Genomic DNA, 25,021 nt, shown 5'->3' on the forward strand with positions numbered 1-25,021 from the left:
AAAGCATTCTTTAAAAGAATATGTGCTTTTAAACTGTGAAGATGAGAGAGCAAACAATTCTGAAAATCACCCTGCTAATTTCTTGTAGAGAAGCAAAAGTGAGAATGATTTAGCAGCTGACATGCATTTGCTCATTCCTTAAAAATAATTTAGTTTTATAGAAATTTTTAAAAGAAAGATCTTTTGTTCAAGGAAGGAGAATACACAAGTTATTTTTAAACTAATGATCTTTATTGGCTAATAAAGTAAATGTGGAGTAGCAATGATATACAAACATACTTACATGTATGTGTTTATGTATGTTCCCTAAATTTGGCCCATGATATCAGAGATCAACTTATTACAACGTATATCTGATAATTTAGTTAACTATAAAGAGCATCGTAGTTACCCGGCATGATTTGGCTTTACCTTTTTTCTTTAAAGGTAAAGGTGACATTAAGTGACAGTTGCCATAAATTTTTATATTGCTCCATTAGACATAGAAAAGTAACAAAGCAAACAGGCACAGCTGAGTATATATGAATAGGCAACAGTCTAAATACACATATTTGAGATTACTTGAAGAAGACAGGACAAGGATCACTAAAACAATCACAGGTGTTTGCTGTGTATTTAGGTGATAACAAACCAGATACATCAAAAATGTAATAATCTACAATAATCAACACACTTGGATTCTCGAAAAGAATTTGGCAATTTTAACCATATTATTACATTTTCTTACTTTACTCTCAGTATATTTTCTGACATGAGGCCTTATATGTTATTAACTAAACGACTACACAATACTTCTTAACAATTTTGAGCAACATGAGTCAAACATATCTGCAGTTATAAATGTTTATAATTCACCCTACTCCATTACTTCTAATCCTTTTCTCCTACTACCTTTCCCTATATACACCTTGCAAATATCAAGTGAAAATTTTAGGCCAGTCTACAGTCATCTGTGTTCTTCTTTCCAAATAGGTTACAAATAAAACCTATTCTTTGAACATATCTTTCACTGTTTCATATCTCATTGTGAGCAAAAACCACAGTTGCTTAGGATCTCTTTGTTTTTTATGATTACAACTTCCTCAGGTATACCAGTTTACTGATGATACAAATTTCTGTCACTCATCTTAACTTTAAAATCCAATTCATTTCTTAAAAGTTCCTTCTTGTATATTATTCAATTATTCATTTAAGAAAGACTAGTTGTTTGGTATCACACATACAAAAATTAAATATATAATACAGTCTCCCCATACTAATAGTTTACAGATGACCATGCTAATCGATGCTATCTACCTACAATCCAAAGTGCTACATTGGCCTCACCCACAAGACCTTATTTTCCTTGTTTCTTTCTATATTCTACAATGACTTTATTTTCATCTCTGGCACAACTATTCAAAATATCTACTCTGCCCTTCAAAATTTATTGAATCAGTACTAGATGCTTGGCAATGTGCTAGAAGGTAATTAGGTGCTGGAGGATATAACGGTGAGCAAAACATGGCTATTCTACATTCAGGTCCCATTCTACCAACTCCCAAATACTGTCCTACTTTCTCAGTGGCTCCATAATTCTCCTGAAACCCAGTGATCTTTCATCTTTTTTCACTCACATTTTCTCATACCCCATAACTAAGAGTAAATAAGCCCTGCTCATTTGACACTCATGTCAGATGTCCCTTCCAGCACAACCGTGAGACTCAGGCGAGAGGGCCCATTGCCCTTGGGCCACTCACTTTAGAGAGCTTGCTTTGGCCCTCTGGCCAGGTACCTCCTTGGGAGGCAAGAAGTCTGCACAGCCCAGGGCCATGCTCCCCGAGTCCTTCAGACTCTACTTCAGCACATTCCCAGGACCCCAAATTCCCATGCAAAGTTCTTGACTATACTCCTCATGACAGATGGAGATTCAGGCATACTCAACTCTACGCCTACAGGGTAGTCAACAGATAGCTTGCAAGGGGTGGGGCAACATTGCCTGCAGGATGATCTTGTGGGCATGCTATGGCAAAGAGCCCAGGATATGAAAAATGGAGGTAGACTGCAGGACACAGATGAGGTGACAAAGGGTCAGCTCTCCCTTTGCCACTATGCTCTAGAACAGAACTGCTAAAAAAATCTGAGAATTCTAAGTGGTCATTTATCTCATTATAAAGCTGTTTCTGGTCAAGTTAGGAGGTCAGAGGATGTTTGATTTAACCACTTCTTTACTGATATGCAACATTTAAGTATGGAGAAATATAGTGAGTGAGCTTTCATTTGTATTCTTGCTCTTATTGGTGTCGGGGTGGGCCTGATTCCCCACATCCTATTTACAAGGATGGTTGCCCAGCCTGAATCTTCATTATAACTCATCAAATAATAACAATATTATTATTATAGTAGTAGTAGTCATAAATGTTGTATTGATAATAATTTACTGAGGGTCCTAGCATGGTGCCAGGCATCTAACCTGTTGTAGGCTCTTTCACACCCTCAGTAATATTTACAACCCCACTGGCTAGTTGTTATCTACATCTTATCCATGAACTGAAAGTAAAAGACTAGCAGAAAAAGGATTTCAACCAAAGTCTTTCTCAATTAAAAGCCCAAGTTCTGTACCATATGCTTCCTTTCAGATGATTGAGAGAGGTTCCCCTGACTTCTGATCCACTCTGCTATCTATCCTACACAGATGTGCCAGATTAATCTCCCTAAAGGGCCACTTTCATCTAAACACGTGATCCATTTTTAAAAAATATACACTGGGCCAGGCGCGGTGGCTCACACCTGTAATCCCAGCACTTTGGGAGGCCGAGGCAGGCAGATCACGAGGTCAGGAGATCGAGACCATTCTGGCTAACATGGTGAAACCCCATCTCTACTAAAAATACAAAAAATTTTCCGGGCGTGGTGGCACGCGCCTGTATTCCCAGCTACTCAGGAGGCTGTGGCAGGAGAATGGTGTGAACCCAGGAGGCAGAGCTTGCAGTGAGCCAAGATGGCGCCACTGCACTCCAGCCTGGGCGACAAAGCGAGACTCATCTCAAAAAAAAAAAAAAAAAAATATATATATATATATATATATATATACATACATACACACACACACTGGCTGGTTATCCTATAAACTTAGTTAAGGTCCAAATCCTAAGCCATTTCCTTTCCAGTCCATCTGCTTCACAATTTCCCAACAAGCTCTTCCAACTCTTTATACCAAAATCATACTTGCCTCTATGCCATTGTATGCTTAACCTCTTCCTCACAGCCAATAAACCTCCAAAACAACCTTTTAAGATCCATGTCCTGCTTTACCTCATCTCTGAAGGTTTCCCTAACCACTCAAGCCCATAACCCTTTTTCTTTCCATTTTTCTATACCCCCATAATACTGATAGTCTCAAAGCAGTCAACAAGTAATTAATCTATGTACTTAGTATGATGAGAGCCACAGAAGATATCACGTATCTTTTAACTTCAAATCACTTTGTGGAATTAATCTTGTTAGAAGACACTATAGAAAAAAAGACTGGTAAAGTGGCTCTAGAGACAGAGTACCTGGCTGAAAATTCTGCCTCAATCATATATTTGCATAGACTCTGGTGTTAAATTTGCATAGTATAGTAACAAGCAGCAGTTCTTTTGTGATAAGCAGAGTTGTTGACCTGGAACCCCTTCAGATCTTAAATTTTTTGAGAATCCCAAAGAACTTTTGTTGGGATGTGTTATATCCAGTCATGTACTGATAAATGTTTAAAACCAACATTCCACTCTTTCCCTCCCCACCAAAAAAAGTCAGATTTGTGATTTCTACTAATTTCCATGGTGTGTATACTTCTGGAATGGCTACTTTTCAAGCTAGAAATGTGACATTCTGAATGCAGAATTAAGAAGAGATGAGCAACAGTGGCTCTCTCCAGCTGGTAAGGCTTCAGTAAATCATAGTTGTATCTATCTATACCCATCTGATTAGAAAATAAAACAGAGAAATATAATAAACATTCATTAATTTAAAATAATAGTAATCATTCTATGTTAATGTTTTTAAATTATAAAATAATCTAAATTTTCCAAAATAAAATTTGATAACTATGGAACTGGTGTACATTTTTATAAAATCCATTAATGTCTTGCTTAATAGAAGACAGATTCTCACATCTAGTTCTGCACTCAATCTGCTGTTTTGTCTGAAGTTATGAAGAAAATGCAGCCTCACACAGGGAATTGAAAAAGGGCCTCCAGGGGTCTTCCATTCACACTTTGAGAAGCATTTATATATAGTGTACAGTTTGCATAAAAGATTTTGGTGTTAAAAGGCCTTACCAATAGTGAGAGTCTGGACAAGTTTGGTAGTTTAATTAGTTTTTCTCACCTAGTAATTCTATCAATATGAAGAATTCTAACTTTAAATTGCCCTGAAAAGAAAGTCCACACTATTTCATATGTGTATGTATTTACATATGTATGTATATTAATGTATATGTATATATATATATTATACTTTCCCCTATTCAACCATTCAAAGTGCTCAGAATATCAAGGAAAAAAAGATAACCATAAAGCAAGAACTTCTCCATTTTTAGGAAAAAAAAATTCTATGTAGCAAGAAAATTTATGAAGCTAATGTATGAATCGTCACTGAGCTAGACATAATATGCAATTAAGCATAAAAGGTAAAATTATGTTCTACATTTCTACAAGTGGTCAACTGTACTGTACCATCCATAAGTCAGACATTGCACCACACAAAATACATCAGAATTACATATTCATTGATGTAAAAAAATGGCAGCTATCAATAGAATATATTTTAACTCTGAAATTTAACATTTCTGGATTTATTTTTGGCAGTATTTAATTCTTTAAAATGTCATTAAATGGCTTAATAATATGCACACATAAATTGTACTCAAGAAAAAAATGATTAACTTAAAATGTGCAGAACAATAGAATCAGCTAGTGGTTTTAGTTGAAAGACTGTATCTGCGTAACTATATCTGTGTAAGTACTGTTTCCCCTGGCTCTAAAAGTATCACTTTAGCCTGGTTTTCTTCCCACTCTTAAAATATCAAGGCAATGTTAAGCATGTTCTGTGCCTCTTCCTTTCATTAATCTTAGGCTGGATTTACTCTCCTCAAAGAATTGAAATAGGATAGCCACTGCCTAAACCAGTTTAATCACACTAGCTACTTCAAACCATTATTATATTTCAAACCACTTCTATTCTTTTAAACATATTACCTTCTAATTAAATTAAATGCCTTTATGGTCACTTAAGCAACAACAGAATATATTCAAACATAAACCATATTTTGTAAATCAATGATGAGCACATTAAATAGCTTTAAGGGGTGGGCCAAAAAGTGCCAAAGGTAATCAAACTTTTATGTGACTCCACTGTTACTTTACTGCTTCTAAGCAGAAGCTATATTCATTTTCAGTTCTCTTATATCAACATTGTAAGGTGCTTACACAAGCCTGGGCAGTTTAGTCACTTCTGCTCATACAGATTTTTACACGGAAGAAAATTTTAAAGACAGGCTATTTAATACGAGCCTCGTTGTATATATTTACTAAAATAACTAAACTTGTTCTGTTAATGAAATTTTACTCCTTGTGCAAAGTAGTAAGTATTTCATCTCTTAGTGCATATTTTTTTCTATTACTGCTCCTGTAATCTTTAATGATCCTGCCCCAAGATTGAAATCTGAATGAGAGGTCATTTTATAAAAGTTTAAAGAATTCTTAATCACTTACCAATACTGAAAATGACTTAACATACAGTACATAACATTCCTCTTTGAAAACAATTTTGTTTCTGATTGTCTACTGCCATGTTACTATTTTCAGCTGCTACCCTCTCCTGCAAAACTCTCCTCATATCCTATACCACAAAGACTAAGCCAGAAAGATGAAAATAAGAATACTAGCTTCCACAGTTCAACTACTAATTCTGTACTATCACGTTAAGCTCTCTCTATACGCTTATCTCATTTTCCCTTTCACTTTATCTTTCAGGTAATATTCCCATTTTTACATTAAAAATCTGGGATCAAGGCAGTTAAGGAACTTATTTAAGGATAATTAGCTATCAAATGACAAAACCAGGATTTGAACTCTGGTTTCCCTTATTCAAAAGAACCCACATTTTTCCCTAACAATTTTGCAAGCTAACACACTTCATGCAAGATGCATCAGATTAAAAAAATTACACTAAATATGTAAGTTAAAGATACTTGTGTATGTGGAACTGGCATACAACTGTCTCATACAGCACAGTTTGCATCTTTGTGGAAATTTCACAGATCCATGCAAGTACTACAACAAGCCTTCTATTAATGTTGTGACAGTCCTGACAAAAATCTACATTCAAGATTAGTTGCAGGAGGTAATCTTCCCACAAATCTGCTTCATACTGAACCTGTGTTTGTGTCTTCAAGAGTGAGCTGTGATTTGATACTCACAGGCTGATCTACAGTGTTTATGCCATACCTCGTGATGTGAAATATAGTGACAAAGTCTTGAAATGTTACAATATGTACCAATTCAGGCTACTTAACTGCTAAACTACAATCTGAACAATTGATAGGCAGTACTATTCTATAAAGTGCTACAGTCACTATACTATATAACAAAGTAAATAGAAATATCTTGAAGGTAACAAGTGCCACAAGGAATTCTTCTCTAAATAAGCAAACAATTAAATGTTCTGAAAGTGATGCCCAAATTTAAATATTAAATTCACAGTGGCTCCAGTGGATTATTAAAGGATAAAGAAAAAAACTGATAACCTCGTGGTGAAACTTCCAAAAATTAGAGTTTTTGCCTGGTAAAGGCAGTATTTACATTGAACTGGAGCTGTAACTCATCACTTAGCAGGAAAAAGATTTTTTGGTGAAGTCATGCTGATCTCTCGAACTAGGATGCCTCATACTAGTAGGAACTAGTATGATATCAGATGGGTGTATAAAAATATCTCAATGGGAAATGCCACTGTGGACAAACTATTATTACAGGAATGTGAAAGAATACACCACTTAATCACTGACAAACATCTCTACCTCAAGCAAAAGTGTTACAAAAAAATTGCTTACACTATACCATTTACTTGTTCTATGCCATAAGCTTGCTTAAAGAGGCTGATTTTACCTTTAGCTGAAGCTGTGTATTTTCTAATCTGTTTAGGGCAGCTGTCAAGTAATCAGAGTAAGCAGTGCCATTTTAATAAGGAAGTCTTTTAATGAAATATAATAGGTCACAAATACCTAATTTCTGCTCTTTACTGTAATTGCCCGTCTTTACTATAACTGCCACTTTAACAATCTTTTCCAAATGCTGACACAAAAGATGAACAAATCAAGGGTATTAGCATGTGTGTATATTTACAGCTTATTGCTGTCAAAGACTGTAGTTCCAACTCTAGCAGCTATATGAGGATCTGATTCTTTTGATGGAAGCATCTTGTTTCAGGTTGTGAATGTATCTGAATTAATCTCCTTTTCACGTCTACATTAGCAATCACATACTAAAGGACACAAAGGAGAAATGTTAACTTACAGCACAATGTTACACTCTTAGGAATATCACCGATACTTTTACTGTCGCTGTAAAGGATTATATATTTTAACACTTTACTCTTCTTTAATAAATTCTGTGCTCCACTACTTATTAGTTCTTAATTTCAAAAAATGTTGTTCATGTACAGTTCAAATAGCCTGTTTTCTTAGATAAATTTTAAGTTTATCATAATCATCAGTTTTATATGAACATCCCTTGAATCACATAAAACTACAAGGAGCTGCTGCAAAGTGAAACAGAGGGCCACAGCAAGAGTGAGAAAACACAAATATCAGTTTTATTTCTAAAAAGCATTATTTTGCTACAGTACACTTTTAAGTTGTTGATAAACTGTTTAAAAATACTTCCCTGAAAACTTCTTTACGTGATATCCTTTTTTTGTTGTTGTTATTTTGGGTATATTATTTTTAAGCAGTAGCTGTTTAAATTTGGTACTATTATTGCTATTTTAATACCACAAGTCCTGTGCACAAACAGCAGTAGTTTTATAAGAAGGTTGCCCATTTTTGAAAAGCTAAGCTTTCCCAAATCAAACTAGCTTACCGTGAAAAGAAAACCATGACAACTGTTTGTACCTCTTGCTTTATTATTACATCCGGCCTGGTCACTCTTAGAAATTCAATCTATTACGGTTGCTAGGAGTCTGTTGCTGTGCAACCTAAAAGGGTATGCTGTGCTTTCAGGATAAGGAGTACTAATAAACCTGTAGGCTTCCCTCTATGGGTCCAACCAGTGTGTTTAAAGGGCTTAATACTTTTCAGGAGTGATTGGCCTACAATTCAAGACACATCCTATTAAAAACAAGTCACACTGAGAGATTTCTAACAAAGGGACAAAATGCTAAACATACACAAATATTCAAAATGTATCCTCAGAATCCCTAACTAATTTGGTAAAACAAACAATGAACAGATTATCATCTACATTTCAATTATACCACCTACCAATCCCAAGTTTTTATTTTCATACAGTCTCCTAAAAGGTCATAATGGATATAAATGAACTGAGCAAGTTTTAGGGAAAAAAGCAGCACTAAGTACCTTCAACTTTTATAAACTTCAATAATAGAAAAATAAGTTAAAACTAGGAATCCCAGAAATCATGAAGTTGGTAAAAATAAAAACCATTCCCCCAAAAAAATTATTTTAAAAATCAAGAAGTTCAACATTTCATTATAAAAACAGATTTTTTTCATCACTTTTGGACAGTAATAATTTTATATTAATTATAAAATCTATACCAGCCTATCATATGCACATTCTATAACTTTAAAGATTAACACTTAATAAATTATTCACATAAATTTACTAAAATTAGATAGCATTATTTGAATGTAAATGAGAAGAAAAGCACAGCAGAGTTTATAAATGAAATACTGTTAAGTCAAATTGTGGGAAATGGATTTTGAAAAGTGGGTAGACATTAAGGGACAGCTTCTGATTCCTTTAGAAACTGTACTAATTTGTATTACTTATTTTTAAATAAGCCTTTTTCATAAGATATTTGGAGACCAAGATAAAGGTGTTCTATCATAAAATACCAAAGACCACACACACAAAAATAATAATCATCTTAACTATGAAAATCTATCCAGGACTTTCCACGGATATTTTTGCTATATTAATATTACCTGCAACTTTGGAAAGTTAATTTTTTTTAAGTGAGACATTTTCTCTACATTCTTGGAACCATTTAGCCCTTCAACTTAACTATTCTGAGCTGGGAACCCTTTAAATAACCTGTCAACTGCACTACCTTATTCCTTTTTAAAGAGCCAGTTATCTGTCCTTCAATGGTTGCTTTCATTTCTTCTCATTACACACTACAGGAAGCAGAGTAAAAGAAATTAACTATTTCTCTAAAAGTACCCCAGAGCAACAAACAGAGGAATGTGGAACAACTATCCAAAAAAGAAAGGCCAAGAAATCAACAATAAAGGAGAGCTGAAGTACACTGAGAGGTGTAAAGGCAACATCTGACCAAAGAACTGAGGATGAAGCAAGAAGAGAATGGGTTCACTAAGGTGGTTTAGAACTGAAACAGCGCATAGCAAAGCAAAGCACAGCACAGCAGAGCAAATGGGAGAAAAGAGGTAGAAGAAAATGACGGACAAGAACGTGTTAGAAAGAGAACTGAAAGAGGATTTGTTAAAAGAAATGTGGATTCATTTTCCGGATGAAAAGAAAAGGAAAAAAGAGAAAACAAATATGAAAGTTTATATTCAATAATTATATATTCCTTGCTTCATCCTTCTTAAAACAAATGCAACTCAGAAAAAAAAGTTCTTAAAAGATTCAGTGATGTCAGCAGACACAATGTAAAAACCAAGATTAGTAACTTAAAGGCTCCACTTAATTTTACAAAGAATTAATTTGAATACTTTCTAGTTCTCCTGTATGACAAGAAAAATTTAACTTGATTCCATAGGGCCTAATGTATGAAAACCTTTTAAAAGTAATTAAAATTGATATTTCCCAAATAAGAACAAATCATTCAAACACACGCACTACACATACACACACACTAGTCAATAAAGTTATTAAAGTCAGATTCTACTGAGGAGTATACTAGTCACAAGGCACGTGTTAGGCAAATGTGTTAACTTCCAAAACAGTTATTTAATACTTAGTCAATTATTAGTTGAGTATATTCAATAATTCTGTTAAGGATCTGATCTTAAAGAATCAAAGTTCTAAACTGGTTACATGAATACTTAGGACCCTGTCAATACTATTAACTAAATGGCAAAAATAAAACCAACAGGTATGGATATCTATATTGGCAGTGTCATTGGAATGTGCCTTCTGGTATTCATTGGGTCCTTGTCTCCTCAAGGCTACAAAGCTTCAATATAATTAAGTGTGGCATTCGTAAAAGAAACTATATACTATGTAGCTATATAAAATAACATATTCCACCATGCAATTAGCCTCTTTTTGGCAAATTCCAGTTTTCTTGGACTAGTAACACCCTATTACATTTGCTTCATCTCCATTTACCCACCTTCCTAAAAGAAAATTTTTAAAAATCAAAGATCCTCAGTAAATGTTGCCAAATAGAACAGATTTTTCTTAATTTCATAATTTTTATCAAGAATTGTAAATTCTTTGATATATAAATAGAGTTGGTAAACAAGAACTTGACTTACAGGTTAGAATACTTTTCTGTACACATGTATTACCAAGTATAAAAAGAAAAATAAAATTACTCCGAGGGCCATAAAAATATTATTTCTCCTGACAGACTATTTCCTTATTTTGTTTCTTCAAATTATTTCAACAATTTGTTTAGCCAAGATCAATAAGGATGTTGATATACAAAAAGATACATATTTTTTTCCTTCTTTTTTTTTTTTTTTTTTTTGAGATAGAGTCTCACTCTTTCACCCAGGCTGGAGTGCAGTGGTGCAATGTCAGCTCACTGCAACCTCTATCTCCGAGGTTCAAGCGATTCTCGTGCCTCAGCCTCCAGAGTAGCTGGGATTACAAGGCATGTATCACCATACCCAGCTAATTTTGTATTTTTAGTAGAGACAGGGCTTCACCACGTTAGCCAGGCTGGTCTCGAACTCCTGGCTTCAAGTGATCCACCCATCTCAGCCTCCCAAAGTGCTGGAATTACAGATGTGAGCCACCGTGCCCTGCCCAAAGAAATTTTTAATATTAAAATTTATTACAGGAATGTGATACTGATTAGAACTGACTATAAGAGTAACCTCAGTTAAACACGTTTTCTAACTTCTATCAAAAATCACTTTCGGCCAGGCGCGGTGGCTCACGCCTGTAATCCCAGCACTCTGGGAGGCCGAGGCGGGCGGATCACGAGGTCAGGAGATCGAGACCATTCTTGCTAACACAGTGAAACCCCGTCTCCACTAAAAAAAAAAAAATACAAAAAATTAGCCGGGCGTAGTGGCGGGCGCCTGTAGTCCCAGCTACTCGAGAAGCTGAGGCAGGAGAATGGTGTGAACCCGGGAGGCGGAGCTTGCAGTGAGCCCACATCACGCACTGCACTCCAGCCTGGGAGACACAGCAAGACTCTGTCTCAAAAGAAAAAAAAAAAAATCACTTTCACTTTTTAACTACTACCATTCACCTTTATATATCTAAAAACTTGAGATACTGAAATGAGCTGATTTTTGAAATCAATAATTGAGGATAATGAAAAGGTACCTTGAAGTACATTCTATAAATCCAAAGGATAATTTCAGCCACATCATATTATGAATGCCAAAAACTCACTTATATATTTCACAATTTTTAGTGAAAGAAAAATACACAGAAAATCTTTCAAAAACATAAAAGCCATCTTAATAAAGAGGTAAATAATACCATCTCACAGAACTTTCAGTCTTTGTGCAGTCAACACTAAATTTGAAAAATTATACAGTATTCAATTCCAACTCTAAATCTAACATCAGACATATGACACTTCACAATTCAAAATATTAAATTTAACACTTGTTTAGAAACTTTCATTATTTTCACGATTTTTTTTTCCTCACCCTTCCATCCACAGGGTAGATAACACAACATACAAGGCAGAGCAATGGACTGGCAATGTGAATGTTAGCCCTGAGTCATCTATGTCGGTTCTCTTTCCAAAGGTAAAAAGCAATGGGAATAATAAGATAGGTGGGGAATAAATGATTATAGCTGGAACCAGATTAACCATAAGTTGTTAACTTTAAAGGAGAGTGATGGATACATGGAAATTCACTTCATCATTTCATCAAACTGCTCTATGCTGTAATATGCTTAGATGTTTCCTAATCAAAAGAGTTACGAGGAAAAACATGAGAGAAGACTCATTGGTCACCAAAGTCTCTTATACCTCACATATCTTTTCATAAACACAACGGTGGTACAAACAAGTGGAGATACTAAATTTTGCTTAATTTTTTACTTTTTTAATGTCAGAAATAACCAGGTACTCGTCTTCAACAGACTCTGGCCCACAGCTTGAGAAAATGTGTGCACAGCTGACTCACTTCAGACATAAATGCCTGGGCATATTTGCAAGTATAATCATTGAACCGGCCTTTCAGGATAGAAACCTAGATTAAAAATAAATATTGTATATATAATTGTATAAGTTCAAAGAGAGAAAGATGGTTTTTTGCTTTGCTTAAGGTTCCATAAAAATGTCTATTTCCTTAAATAACTTAAATGTATACACATTTATGTTATATTTATTATATTTTATTTTGTACCATTTTTTAAGTAGTCCAATACAGTAGAATAGCCTCGAATACTGTGAAACTGTACATTTCATAATGGATGACAGGCACATAATGCTGAATATTTGACACCAAACTGAGTATCTGACACCAAACTGAAATGGAAAATATGGTTGTGACACTAGTACACAGAAAACCCCATTCTAAAAATATCAGTATGACAATCTATTTGTCAAAATAATAGAATTCAAGACAATTTGCCTCCATTAGTAACTTTTATTTAAATAATCTCTCATTTGCCTTTTATGTCTTTTTACATGTACAAAGTTTTACAAATAAATACAATTCATAAATTACTATCAAAGATGACTAGATGATAGCTATGCTATATAAACAATGACATTGTTTCATATAAAACACTGAAGAGCATTTTTATCACAGAAGCCATCATATGCAAAGATTCTGTCAAATTTAAATTAGCCATAAGTAAACTAAGGGTATAACCAACCAAATTAGCAGTCTGGCTAACTCTAATTTCTATTTGCCTATTATTGTAATTTTTACTTTTAACACTTCATGTGCACACGCTGTTCAATTTTTTAAGTGTTTCCAAAGAGCCTCCAACTTGGAAGCAGGTAGGGTGGACTTCAAGAATTTAATTTTGAAAATGGCTCAATCGGCTCGATTCCTTAGTTTTGATCAATACATCTTTCTCTCTCTCTCTCTCTCCCTCTCTCTTTATATATATTATATATTATACATATTATATATTATATATATTATATATTATACATATTATATATTATATATATTATATATATTATATACTATATTATATACTATATATTATATATATATTTTATATATAATATATACTATATTGTATATAACATATAAAATATATATTATATACCACATAGCATATATTATATATAAAATATATATTATATGCCACATAGCATATATTGTATATAAAATATATATTATATACCACATAGCATATATTGTATATAAAATATATATTATATACCACATAGTATATATTGTATATAAAATATATATTATATGCCATATGGTATATATTGTATATAAAATATATATTATATGCCATATGGTATATATTGCATATAAAATATATATTATATGCCATATGGTATATATTGCATATAAAATATATAGTATATGCCATATGGTATATATTGCATATAAAATATATAGTATATGCCATATGGTATATATTGCATATAAAATATATAGTATATGCCATATGGTATATATTGCATATAAAATATATATTATATGCTATATGGTATATATTGTATATAAAATATATATTATATGCTATATGGTATATATTGTATATAAAATATATGCTATATGTATATATTGTATATAAAATATATATTATATTATATATAAAATATATATTATATATAAAATATGTATAAAATATATATATTATATATGATATAATATATATTATATATATTATATATAATATAACATATATTATATATATATATAATATAACATATATTATATATAATATATATAATATAATATATATTATATATAATATATATTATATAATATATATGTTATATATATTATATAAAATGTATAATAAAATATTTTAAATAATATAATATATTTTATATTATATATAAAATATATAATAAAATATAAAAATAAAATATTTTATATATTTAGATTTATTTTATATTTTATTTTTATATATTTATATTTATATATTATATGAATATATGAAATATATTTTATATTCATATAAATATATATATGAATATATATTTATATATATATGAATATATATTTATATATGAATATATATTTATATATATATGAATATATATTTATATATATATGAATATATACATTTTTATATTTATATATATATAAATATATATTAATGTATATTTATATTTTATATAAATAAAATATTTTATATTTATATAAATATAAAATATTTTATATTTATATAATATAAAATAAAATACTTTATATTTATATAAAATATAAAATAAAATATTTTATATTTATATAAAATATAAAATAAAATATTTTATATTTATATAAAATATAAAATAAAATATTCAGGGAAAGGCATATAAAAATGATAAAAGGGGGTAAAGAGAAAGGCAGAAAGTGCTGTGTGAGGACAGATGTAAAAATTAGGACTCTTTAACAGGAAGGCCAGCAGCTACCAAAGTATCAATATTATATTATAAATATACAAAGCCACATTTGAAGACATATTCAAAACTTCCTTCAGGTCTTTGTTCAAATGTTACCTTATCTGCAAGGTGTTCTTAATCATCCTATTTAAAATTACAACCTTCTCCACCCCCATCATTTACATATCATTTACACTCTCTACCCCCCTGCTTCTCACATTTGTTTTTTCCATAGCATTGACAACCATCTATTATAATACATACTCATTTATCTTCTCTCTCCCTCACCCCCAATTGTTTGAATGTGAGTTCCTTCAAGGGCAGAGGCCCTTGAAGAATGATCAGTTTTATTCATTCTTGTATCCTTCACAGCAGTTCACTTCTTGGCCCCTACTTTATGTGCCAATATTTGCTCAAGAAATGAATGAAATAATTTTTAAAAAGTGAAATGAGCATGTATATTAAAACTTACAGAAATTGAAGAGCACTCCTTAAGTCTGGAAAGAGGTTAAGATGACTTCACAAACGGCACTAAATTCAGCAACTCATCATCTCGAGAGATGGTATACAATGAATATACACTAATTAAAATGAGGGCTGGATAGATTTATGAAGGACAACTGTTTTTTTTTTTTTAAAAAAAAAGGTTTTTCAGGGTAAAGTCTCTGTAGCAGACATAAAGGCAGATAATCATACCTTCGCATAGTGCAACCCTAATTAAAATATCACAAATGCAAACATGGATCTCACTACTGTAGTAATTCCATTCTGATACTACTGGTTGCCTTGGTGTAACCCTGGAACTGAAGTCCTGATCCTCTACTTTTGACATCCCAGCAGGCACAGTAAAGTTAGGCAGTAGAAGGAAAAACCCAAAGTTTGGGATATTCAAAGTAGTCCCCCAAAGCAAGGTTCCCATAATGCCCCGCATGTCTCTCCTATATTAAGGAATTCTTGCACCCTGTCACAACTAGAAAATAGAAATAAGGTATAGAATCCTTAAAGGCATTCCCCAACTTCTGAAAGTAAGATATTAGCCTTGTTGGATACTAAGAAAATCCAAACAAGTCTGGAATTATATCTATATATAGATATATGAGTCTAGAATTTCACATATAGAGAAATGTATATATATAAATATAGAATGAGGTGACAGAATGTCATTTGAAAAGGTAAGAAGAAAAAGACCTGGATTAAGGTCAGCCCAATCCACTGCCAGCTACATGATACTCTATTTGAAGAAATATCCAGAAATTCATGAATTCATGCCATTAAATTCATTTTGGAAAAAAAAGAAGTAAATAAATCCAATGGAAATAATAAAAGTAAGACTGCATTGCTTGAAAGGTCATTGTAAAATCAGAACTAGACAAAATTTTTAAATAGTGAAATGTGTTTTCTAAAATTTGATTAGAGATTCCAAATTGACAATCTGAAGCTTAAACAACTATTCATTGTTTCTACTAGAAAAAGACACTGGGTCTCATGCTGAGTTCAAAAACCTTGATTATGGAGTCTTCTGCCCTCAGTAAGCTTATAAACAATTTAAAAAGATTAAGCATTTACAACTGAACAAACAAAAATCTAAATCACAATTTCCAATTAGCAGAGATAATAAGAAATTACTAGAAATGAACCCATCAAGTTAGGGACCACTCAAATTTTAGAAGAGATTAATTGAAGTAGGGTAGAAAACACATTCTAATAGAATAAAGGATGAGAACTAAGTTTTAGAGAAAAGAAATGACAAGGCAGAATTCAGACCATATAGGATAATAATAGCAATTGCCATTTATTAAACACTCACATGTCAGGCACAGTGCTATTTTGACTATGTCATATACTGTCTTTGAAACAATCTTTTCAGGTTGATTTTATTAATCCTATTTCACAGAATTTAAGTAATCTGCCTAACATTAAACTGCTAGTCAGTGGCAGAGCTCGAATTCACACCCAGGGCTGTTCATTTTGAAGTTCATGCTCTTAACCAATACATAATACAGTTGTCCCTCCGTAACCATGGGGAATTGGTTCCAGGACCTCCATCTTAAAAAAGGGTGCCCAACTCTCTTATATAAAATAGCATAGTATTTGTGTATAGCCTGTACACATCCTCCCGTGTATACTTTAAATCATCTCTAGATTAATTATAATTCCTAATACAATGTAAGTGCTATATAAAGTTGTTATACTGTATTTACTTTTTTTATTGTTGTGTTGTTATATATTGTTTTCTTTTTTCAAGTGTTTCCCATCCTCAGCTGGTTGAATTCACAAATGCAGATCCCACAGATACGAAATGTAGACTGGTCAAAAAAGGGGAAGTACAGAGAAAAGTGGTGAAATACAAGTTTGAAAATGGACATGAGACTATAAGCTTCCTAACAGCAAAGACTGTGGTTGTTCTGTGGGACACTGTGATAACTAATAAATATTTCTTAAACGACTCTGACGAAGAGGCAATGAGGAATCCTGAAAAGATTCTGACAGAGGGAAACGTAAAACTCTGAGCTATTTCTAAAAATTCAAAAAAACCTTCTTTTTAGAGGACTCTATTAATCTGAATTTTAAAAGTTAAGTAAAAATGATTCATAAGACATTAAGACCACGTTCCATATTTGAGTTTCCTTCTCTGCACATCCAACAAATACAGCAGTCTAGTATTTAGTTACTCTGGTAACTCAATCTCTATATTCAAATCCCAATTTAAGGCTTGCAAGTATTTAGCACTTTCTATTCATTTGAATTACACTTTCAATATTTGTATTTTCCATTCTAATTTATGAGTCAGTATATATGTTGATATATCAGAAATATAGTTCAATCTAAAAGTATATTATTTAGATCTCTCCCCCTAAAAACATTAACAGAAAGTAAAATGAATGTAATGCATTATATTCTGACTCTCTCAATTCATCTGAAACAGCGGCATTAAATTTTAAAAAATGATAAAGAATAAAAAAGAGGAACTTCTAGGCAAAAAATGCAAGAGCTAACTAATATTTCATCATACTTTCGTTTATTACATCTCCCTTTTTGTTGAAGGTGAGGCTAAATCCAAAGGGAACAGTTTTACAAGAAGGTTTATCTGTGGGGATTTACACCTTGTTAAAAGCAAATGACAAGCGGTTTTCCCCCACAGGAAACATACTCCTGTTTTATATAAATGTATCCTTTCATATTTGTTACCACAAATGAGGCTGCAGAGAGCATCAGGTTACATTGGGAAGTTCAATTGCCATATTCTTGGTTTCTCTTAAATTGACTGTTTCAAATAATTAACAGGGTTAGGGCTCAAACTGCTCATCTTTAGCACAATACCGAAACTAATTCAAGTCTGAGCTCACTGATTTACTTCTAATTGTAAAACACAGACACACACACACACACACACAGAAAGAGAGACACAGAGAGGAGAGAGAGAGAAATAATTAGACAAAATCTTGGTAATTACAATTCCTGCCACAGTCCCATACTATTAAAAAGTAAACAACATAACCTTCCAAAAACTCAGATTAAGAAAATAAAAAATCAGATAATAGCATAGTTGCCAGTATTGCGTCTGGTTGCTATGGAATAAAGGGCAGTCCGTTCATATATTCATTCTGTTCATTCACTGCTACTTAAGAGCGCTGCTACACTTTTAAAGCCCAGCTGGGCAAGTCTCAGCTTGTACCACCTATATCAGCTGCCAGTATTTTACTTTTGTTCCACAAAAGAGTGACCTACAAGAACAAAGATTTCCATTTTTAAAATTCATAATTAAATGAATGTTTACAAAAATTCTTAAAACAATTAAAAGCACCTTTACCCTCATCAAAAAAGTAAAGACGTGCATACCAGGACTGAAAATTATTTACACTAATACATTGATTATGACATACATCATTAATTCCCAATAAGAGGAAATACAAATAATAGGAATTAAATATACAATATTTTTCTTTTTAAAAAACCTAGTAAGTATGGCATTTCTCCTTAAAATAAAGCCTACTGATGGTTTGGAAAACATTTTTAAATTTTATTTCTACGTCATTCTAAAAATAATCCATATACCAAAAATTACATTTGGAAATAATTAGAACATTAAGGTATTTATGCAAACTTTGAATGCAGATTTATAAAACTTGCTTTTTCTAGAAAAAAATATGGAGTTCAAAATTATAGATAAACAGTTACTTAAAACACTAAAGGCAGTACATTTGAGTTCTTTGCCTTTAAAAAAAGTTTTGTATTAGCCCTAAGAACATTTGCGGAGGAGTGTGGAGGCTGGAGTTCGACAGTCCTAATTCTGATGTTCTATGTCATTGTACAAGTCACTTACCCTCAGTTTTCTTACCTATAAGAAGTGGGGAGGAGGAAGGAGGGGTTCAACTTGATAACTTCCCAAGTCCATTCCAACTAAAAGAATCTGACTCTAAAATAAAACATTCTAATTATGTTTCTACTGAAATCCTGTATATTTGGGCCATTTGGAAACATGTGTGACTCTAGTGAGAGACCTTTTCACCTCTCTAATCTGCTGTAGTCCCATGGCTGTCTCTTTTGGTCTGCTGTGCAGGGCCAGACATAGTAAACGGAAAGTGGAATATGGCAGTAAAATTAGTAGAGATAGGAAGAAAGGCTGAAGTTGGCCACTGAGAAAGAAAGATACTCATCACAGGGGATTTGAAGTTCCAGACCCAAAAGTTTAGCTGCTATGCAAACAGGGCCAGGTTATAAGATACAGATCATTTCTTGCCCCCCCCAAAAAAAGCAACAAACAAACAAACAAAACTCTCCTTTAAATGTGAAGAGACAGTGTTCTTCCAAATTACAGCATTAAGTTATTGAGGAGTTACTCAAACATAGAATAAGTGGATCAATATTATTATTCCCACACTGAAAATGGCTGATTTTTAAATTATATCCTATAACGCAAATGTAGTACTGGTCAAATTTAAAACTAAACAACTTTGAAACACTAGAATAAAACTGCCTGTGCTTTCATTGATACTAAACAGAATGTAAAATAATAAAAAGCCAAATAAAATTATACTTTGATTTTAAGTACAAGGTATCTAAAAGCACAGAAAAAGTTACTACTGTAAATGTTGAAACTCATCTTGCATTAAATTCATAAGGAAATCTATAAATATTTCTGAAAATAACATGTACATTCTATAATCTTCTGTTTTGCAGGGTTACATTTACGTTTTATTCACATATTGTTTGGCTCATTAAACTTTATACTGGTGTTTTCTTCATACACTGTATCTTCTATTTACTTTTGAAAAGTATAAAAATCTAATAGGCAGAATTACATAATGAAGATGTTTCCTAATGTCAGTTAGAATTATATATAACCCTTTGAGAAAAGAAACAGTTTAGTTCTAAAATAAGATCATTTAATTAGTGTATCACTTTGGTTATTTTGTATCACTTTACTACTCAGTTTGTCTAGTGACTCTGTACAGAAATATTTTTAAAGACCGCCACAAAATATATTAAGTCATACACAATTCCACTGAACCCTTTGGATCATAATGAAGTTTGGCAATTAAAGTTATTATACAAACAAAAAATGCAAGCTTATTTAATGCACTGTATTTACCTCTTCATATCTTAATCATTTAATTAGGTTCAAACAAGGAAACATCAGCTTTTAAAAAGATTTAGGTATAAATTTTGTGTTGTTTATTAAAATGCCATTAATCACTATTTGTTATAATACTAGTCTGCTCATTATAGAATAGTTTCATGTAGTAAGACCATTATTACATGAATAACGATTTTTTTTTGGCTATAGATTTTAGAATTGTAAAATAAACTTCTTTCATACCAGTCTGGCCTCAGTCAAATAAAAAAACTAAGAGAAGGAACCTCCTCATTCCCTGAAGATACTAAACCACAAAATATTAAACTGCTTTGAGTGATATCATAAACTATCAGTACATTAGCTCTTAGATGTCTCTTCCTTTATGTTCTATTAGAAACAAAATGAGTAGCAAACTTTGAAGGAAATATTCCAGAAGAAGCAGAAGATAGTTGGTTCTCTTCCCTCATCAACTTACAAAATGACTCAACTGTTTACTCAAATATACCCACAAACAAAGTTAAAAGAATGGCAGACAAAAGATAACCCCATTTCACCCTTGGGAGAGTTAGTCTTCAACACAGGTTTCTTCAAATATGGGCTACTGTCCCTGGACTTTCTCCCTTTCTTAACAATGGGTCAGGATTCAAGTAAAGGAGACTTGAATTCAATTACTAAACAAAAGATATGACCGGAAACCAAGAACAAACTTCCTGATTTAGAAATGCTGTGCTTGTAGGGTAACTACAGTCAACAGTAATTTATTGTACACTTTAAAATAACTAAAAGTATAATTAGAATGTGTGTAACACAAGGAAATGGTAAATGCTTAAGGTGACAGACACCCCATTTACTCTTACGTGACTACTATGCTTTGTATGCATGTATCGAAATATCCCTTAAATATATACCCTTAACATGTACCCATAAAAACAAAAATAATAAATAATAAGAGAAATGCTGTGCTGAGAGAAAAAACAAGATCATTTTTAAATATTTTGTTTTAAACATAAGCATTTTTTCAAGTATACATTGAATCTGTTGTTAGCATAAGATTTAAATATTTTCAAAGCAACACAAAGTAAAGAATGATTCAAGGTTATTTCAATATGCAAATATTTCAAATTATATAGCTTTAGAGCAATAGAAGGTACTACTTTGTTAAATCCATATAATGGGCATATGGGAGTTTATTATACTACTCCAGTGTAAGTTTTAAATGTTCCAAAATATAAAATGTTTTAGGAATATATACATTTATGGTACACAGTTTTTTACTATATACTGACTTTACAACTGTAGGCTGCTTTAGATATCAGATAAACTAATCAGATATCCCAACTGGATATGCTAATTTTGTGTTTTTTATATATTAATATATTACCTTGTAATAATAAAATAATTACAAGAAAACTCTGAGGCAACACCTCAATTTAATCTTTTCTATATACAATGTCTAGAAATAGTCAAACCTCATACAATACTAGTCAAAGATCCCAGCACCTTGTTATAAAAATTTCCAACAAACAAAAAAACAAATGTGGTGCTCAAAAAGAGGCTAAGTACAATCTTTTTCCTTGGGTCCTCCCATTAGGTAAAAATCACAGTAAAGATTTTAAAAAGAAATTGTTCATTCAATAAATTATTTCACCATTCATAATGTAATTTTTCCATCTTATTTTTATCTTTATTTCCAAATTCTCTACTAATTTCATTCAACTCCACTTTTCAGTATCTCTTCCAACACTTTTTTATCCTTCTTGATTCCCAAATATCGTTATGTCCTTTTTGTAACCCTCTACAATTGGAAACCTTAAAAAATATGTCCACATAGCTGAGAATATGCAATTTTGTATCTAATAACCCATTTCTCTCATTTCTTTATGCTCCTTAAAACTCAATGGAAATCTAAGTCATTTCGGGATTCCTACATTAACCAAAATAGTACTGCACTAAATATACATTGATATAAATCCTTTAATTCCTCATTCAAAATTAAAGCTAAAAGACAAAATAAAAAACCAAAAGCTTAGAGACTAATTTATCCAATTATCTTAGGTCTCTGCTAGAATGTTTTTGAATCAAATATTAGAAATGTCATCAGTCATAGCAGTGATATTATTACTAGATATGCAGAATATGCAGAATATGGTGAACTGGGATTCATATTTAGTCCCTGAAATGATATTTCTTTTTCTCTACATTGTACTAGTCACTGTTCATACTCTAGTTTTTCAAATTATATGATCCTGCACTTCATTTTTTACCCCATTCCTTCAGATTAAGGTGTTGTTCTGGGCATGGGGTGCCATCTATTGGCATTCTTTCTAAGGTTTATAATCCAGAAGGTAAACTGGAACTTCCAAAGCTCCCAGATAATGTACATTTGGGAAATTCCAGGCAGCAATGAAAATTAACAAAACACATTTTAATAGAGAGGCTTACATCATTAAAGAAGGAAGTCTTTACTTCAAAGTTTATCACGGGCAGTAGGACTGGAAGTGAGTGTTGCATCAGGATCGCTACAATTACCTCCTCTCACAAATTACTCTGATCTGTATCTCCAGTCCATAGTCATTTGCATTTCTATCAACCCCCAAAAATGCTCAAGCAAACCTAACCCAATCAAAATATTAAAATAAATCTCTTTCCAAGTTCCAAGATAAAAGAATCCCACCTTACTTCCAAGACATATGGCACTCAAATCTTTGCTGAAATATAAACCCACAACTACTATACAGCTCTACTCATTCAATATTATTTAAAAGGTTTTACAATTCAAAACTTGGCAGACTTCTAAAAATAAGGAGATCAAATGTTGATCCAACAGCACAATATTTTAACCTCCTATAATTGGAATGAATTACAATTTTTGTCTTTAACTACAATTTAATTCAATTTCAGCATTCATGGCCTTTATTAACTGAAAGTAGCCTCTAAAAATCATCATACAATGTGAGACACTATTAAAAATTGCTCACAAAACTACACGAAGGTCATTCAAAGAACTTCATCAGACAGTTCCCCTAATCTTTCTTTGCCTCAAGAAAATAGCACTAAGGTGGAAATACTAAATGTTCCTAATGATCCTCCAAGAGATGGATAATGCAAAAATCAGTGCACAAAAACAGTATTGATTGTTCTACAACACCAAGCAAAATGTAAATTAAAATGACTTTCTAAATATCTACATACACATACACAAAACACATTAAGTTAAACTCCATTTTTCTTAATATATCTACTACACTCTAATTGAAAAGTAATTTTTTTAACCAAGTTGTGTTTTGTTTTGTTTTGTTTTGTTTTGCTTTGTTTTTTTGAGACAGGGTTTCCCTCTGTTGCCCAGGCTCCGGGTTGTCTACAGCCTCCAGCCTCCACCTCGAGGGCTGAAGCAATACACCCACCTCAGTCCTGAGGGGGTGGTACTACAGGCAGGCACCACTGCACCCGGCTAATTTTTTAATTTTTTGTAGAAACAGGGTCTCACTATGTTGCCCACACTAGTCTTGAACTCCTGGGCTCAAGGGATTCTCCCATCTCAGCCTCCCAATGTGCTGGGATTACAAGTGTGAGCTAAACAAAGTATTTTAAAATGCTCCTAAGACACATGCAATATAATCATTTTATGAAACAAAGAATCTAAATTTATGGGTTTCCGTGTTATGTACTGATTTTTCAAGTTGGGTTTTCACCATGGCACGTAAAATACATATTGTGCTTTTAAAGTTGTAAAGGTGATTTTCAGATTACTCATATAATAGCTTTTCATGTTTTTTATTAATGACCCTTAAACTGACACGTCATCAAAATTCATCTCTGAGACTGTCATTAGATATAATCAGATGCCAATCAGCAAATGCCTGATGTGACAGATTTTACTCTTTGGTTATTTAAAATAGCATAAATAGTATCAGGGGAAAACCTAAATTCTAATGCAAAAACATATATCCACAAAACCATTTATCCAAAGCAAAACATAAAGAGGTAGATTTAAGGCATCACTACTGTTACCTTGCTTATGAACTAGATTTTCTCACCAGTCTTTTTAATTCCTTTCTAAAATTTGTGCATGACTAAATCAAAATTCAGGTTCCTTAAAAAAGAAAGATATTATTTTCCATCTACTAATATACTAATGGATAGATATATACAGATATATTGATTCTTTGGAAAAAAGGAATCACTAACAAAATTAAACAGAATGCCCGTCTTCACAAAAATAGATGTATTCTGCACAATATTACAGTAGGTAAGGAAAGAAATCTGGAAGAAATACTGGATCACCTGAGTCTTCTGTCTCCCACCTCCCTACGCCCCGTAAGTCCCACCTCAAGCCCCCACACCCGCCTAAACTTAATGGTCCAGGAAAATTAACTGGGGAAAATATGTAATGCACTGATGTCTAACAATAGAAACAGGATATGATTCCTAAATGTATCTGCTTTTCCTGCCCTTCTACAGCAACCTCCCCCATTCCTCCACAACTAAAACATGGAGGAAACTTAACTGACAAGCA

At 32.4% G+C, this 25,021-nt stretch overlaps 1 protein-coding gene across 25 annotated transcripts in view; it reads right to left on the bottom strand.

Moving 5' to 3' along the window:
• The window catches only part of RFX3 (regulatory factor X3), a 307,705-nt gene that overhangs the window by 272,359 nt on the left and 10,325 nt on the right, over positions 1-25,021 (bottom strand). The gene's annotated exons all lie outside the window — the stretch shown is intronic.

Source organism: Homo sapiens, chromosome 9 (genome assembly GCF_000001405.40).
Source record: "Homo sapiens chromosome 9, GRCh38.p14 Primary Assembly".
NCBI lineage: Eukaryota > Metazoa > Chordata > Mammalia > Primates > Hominidae > Homo > Homo sapiens.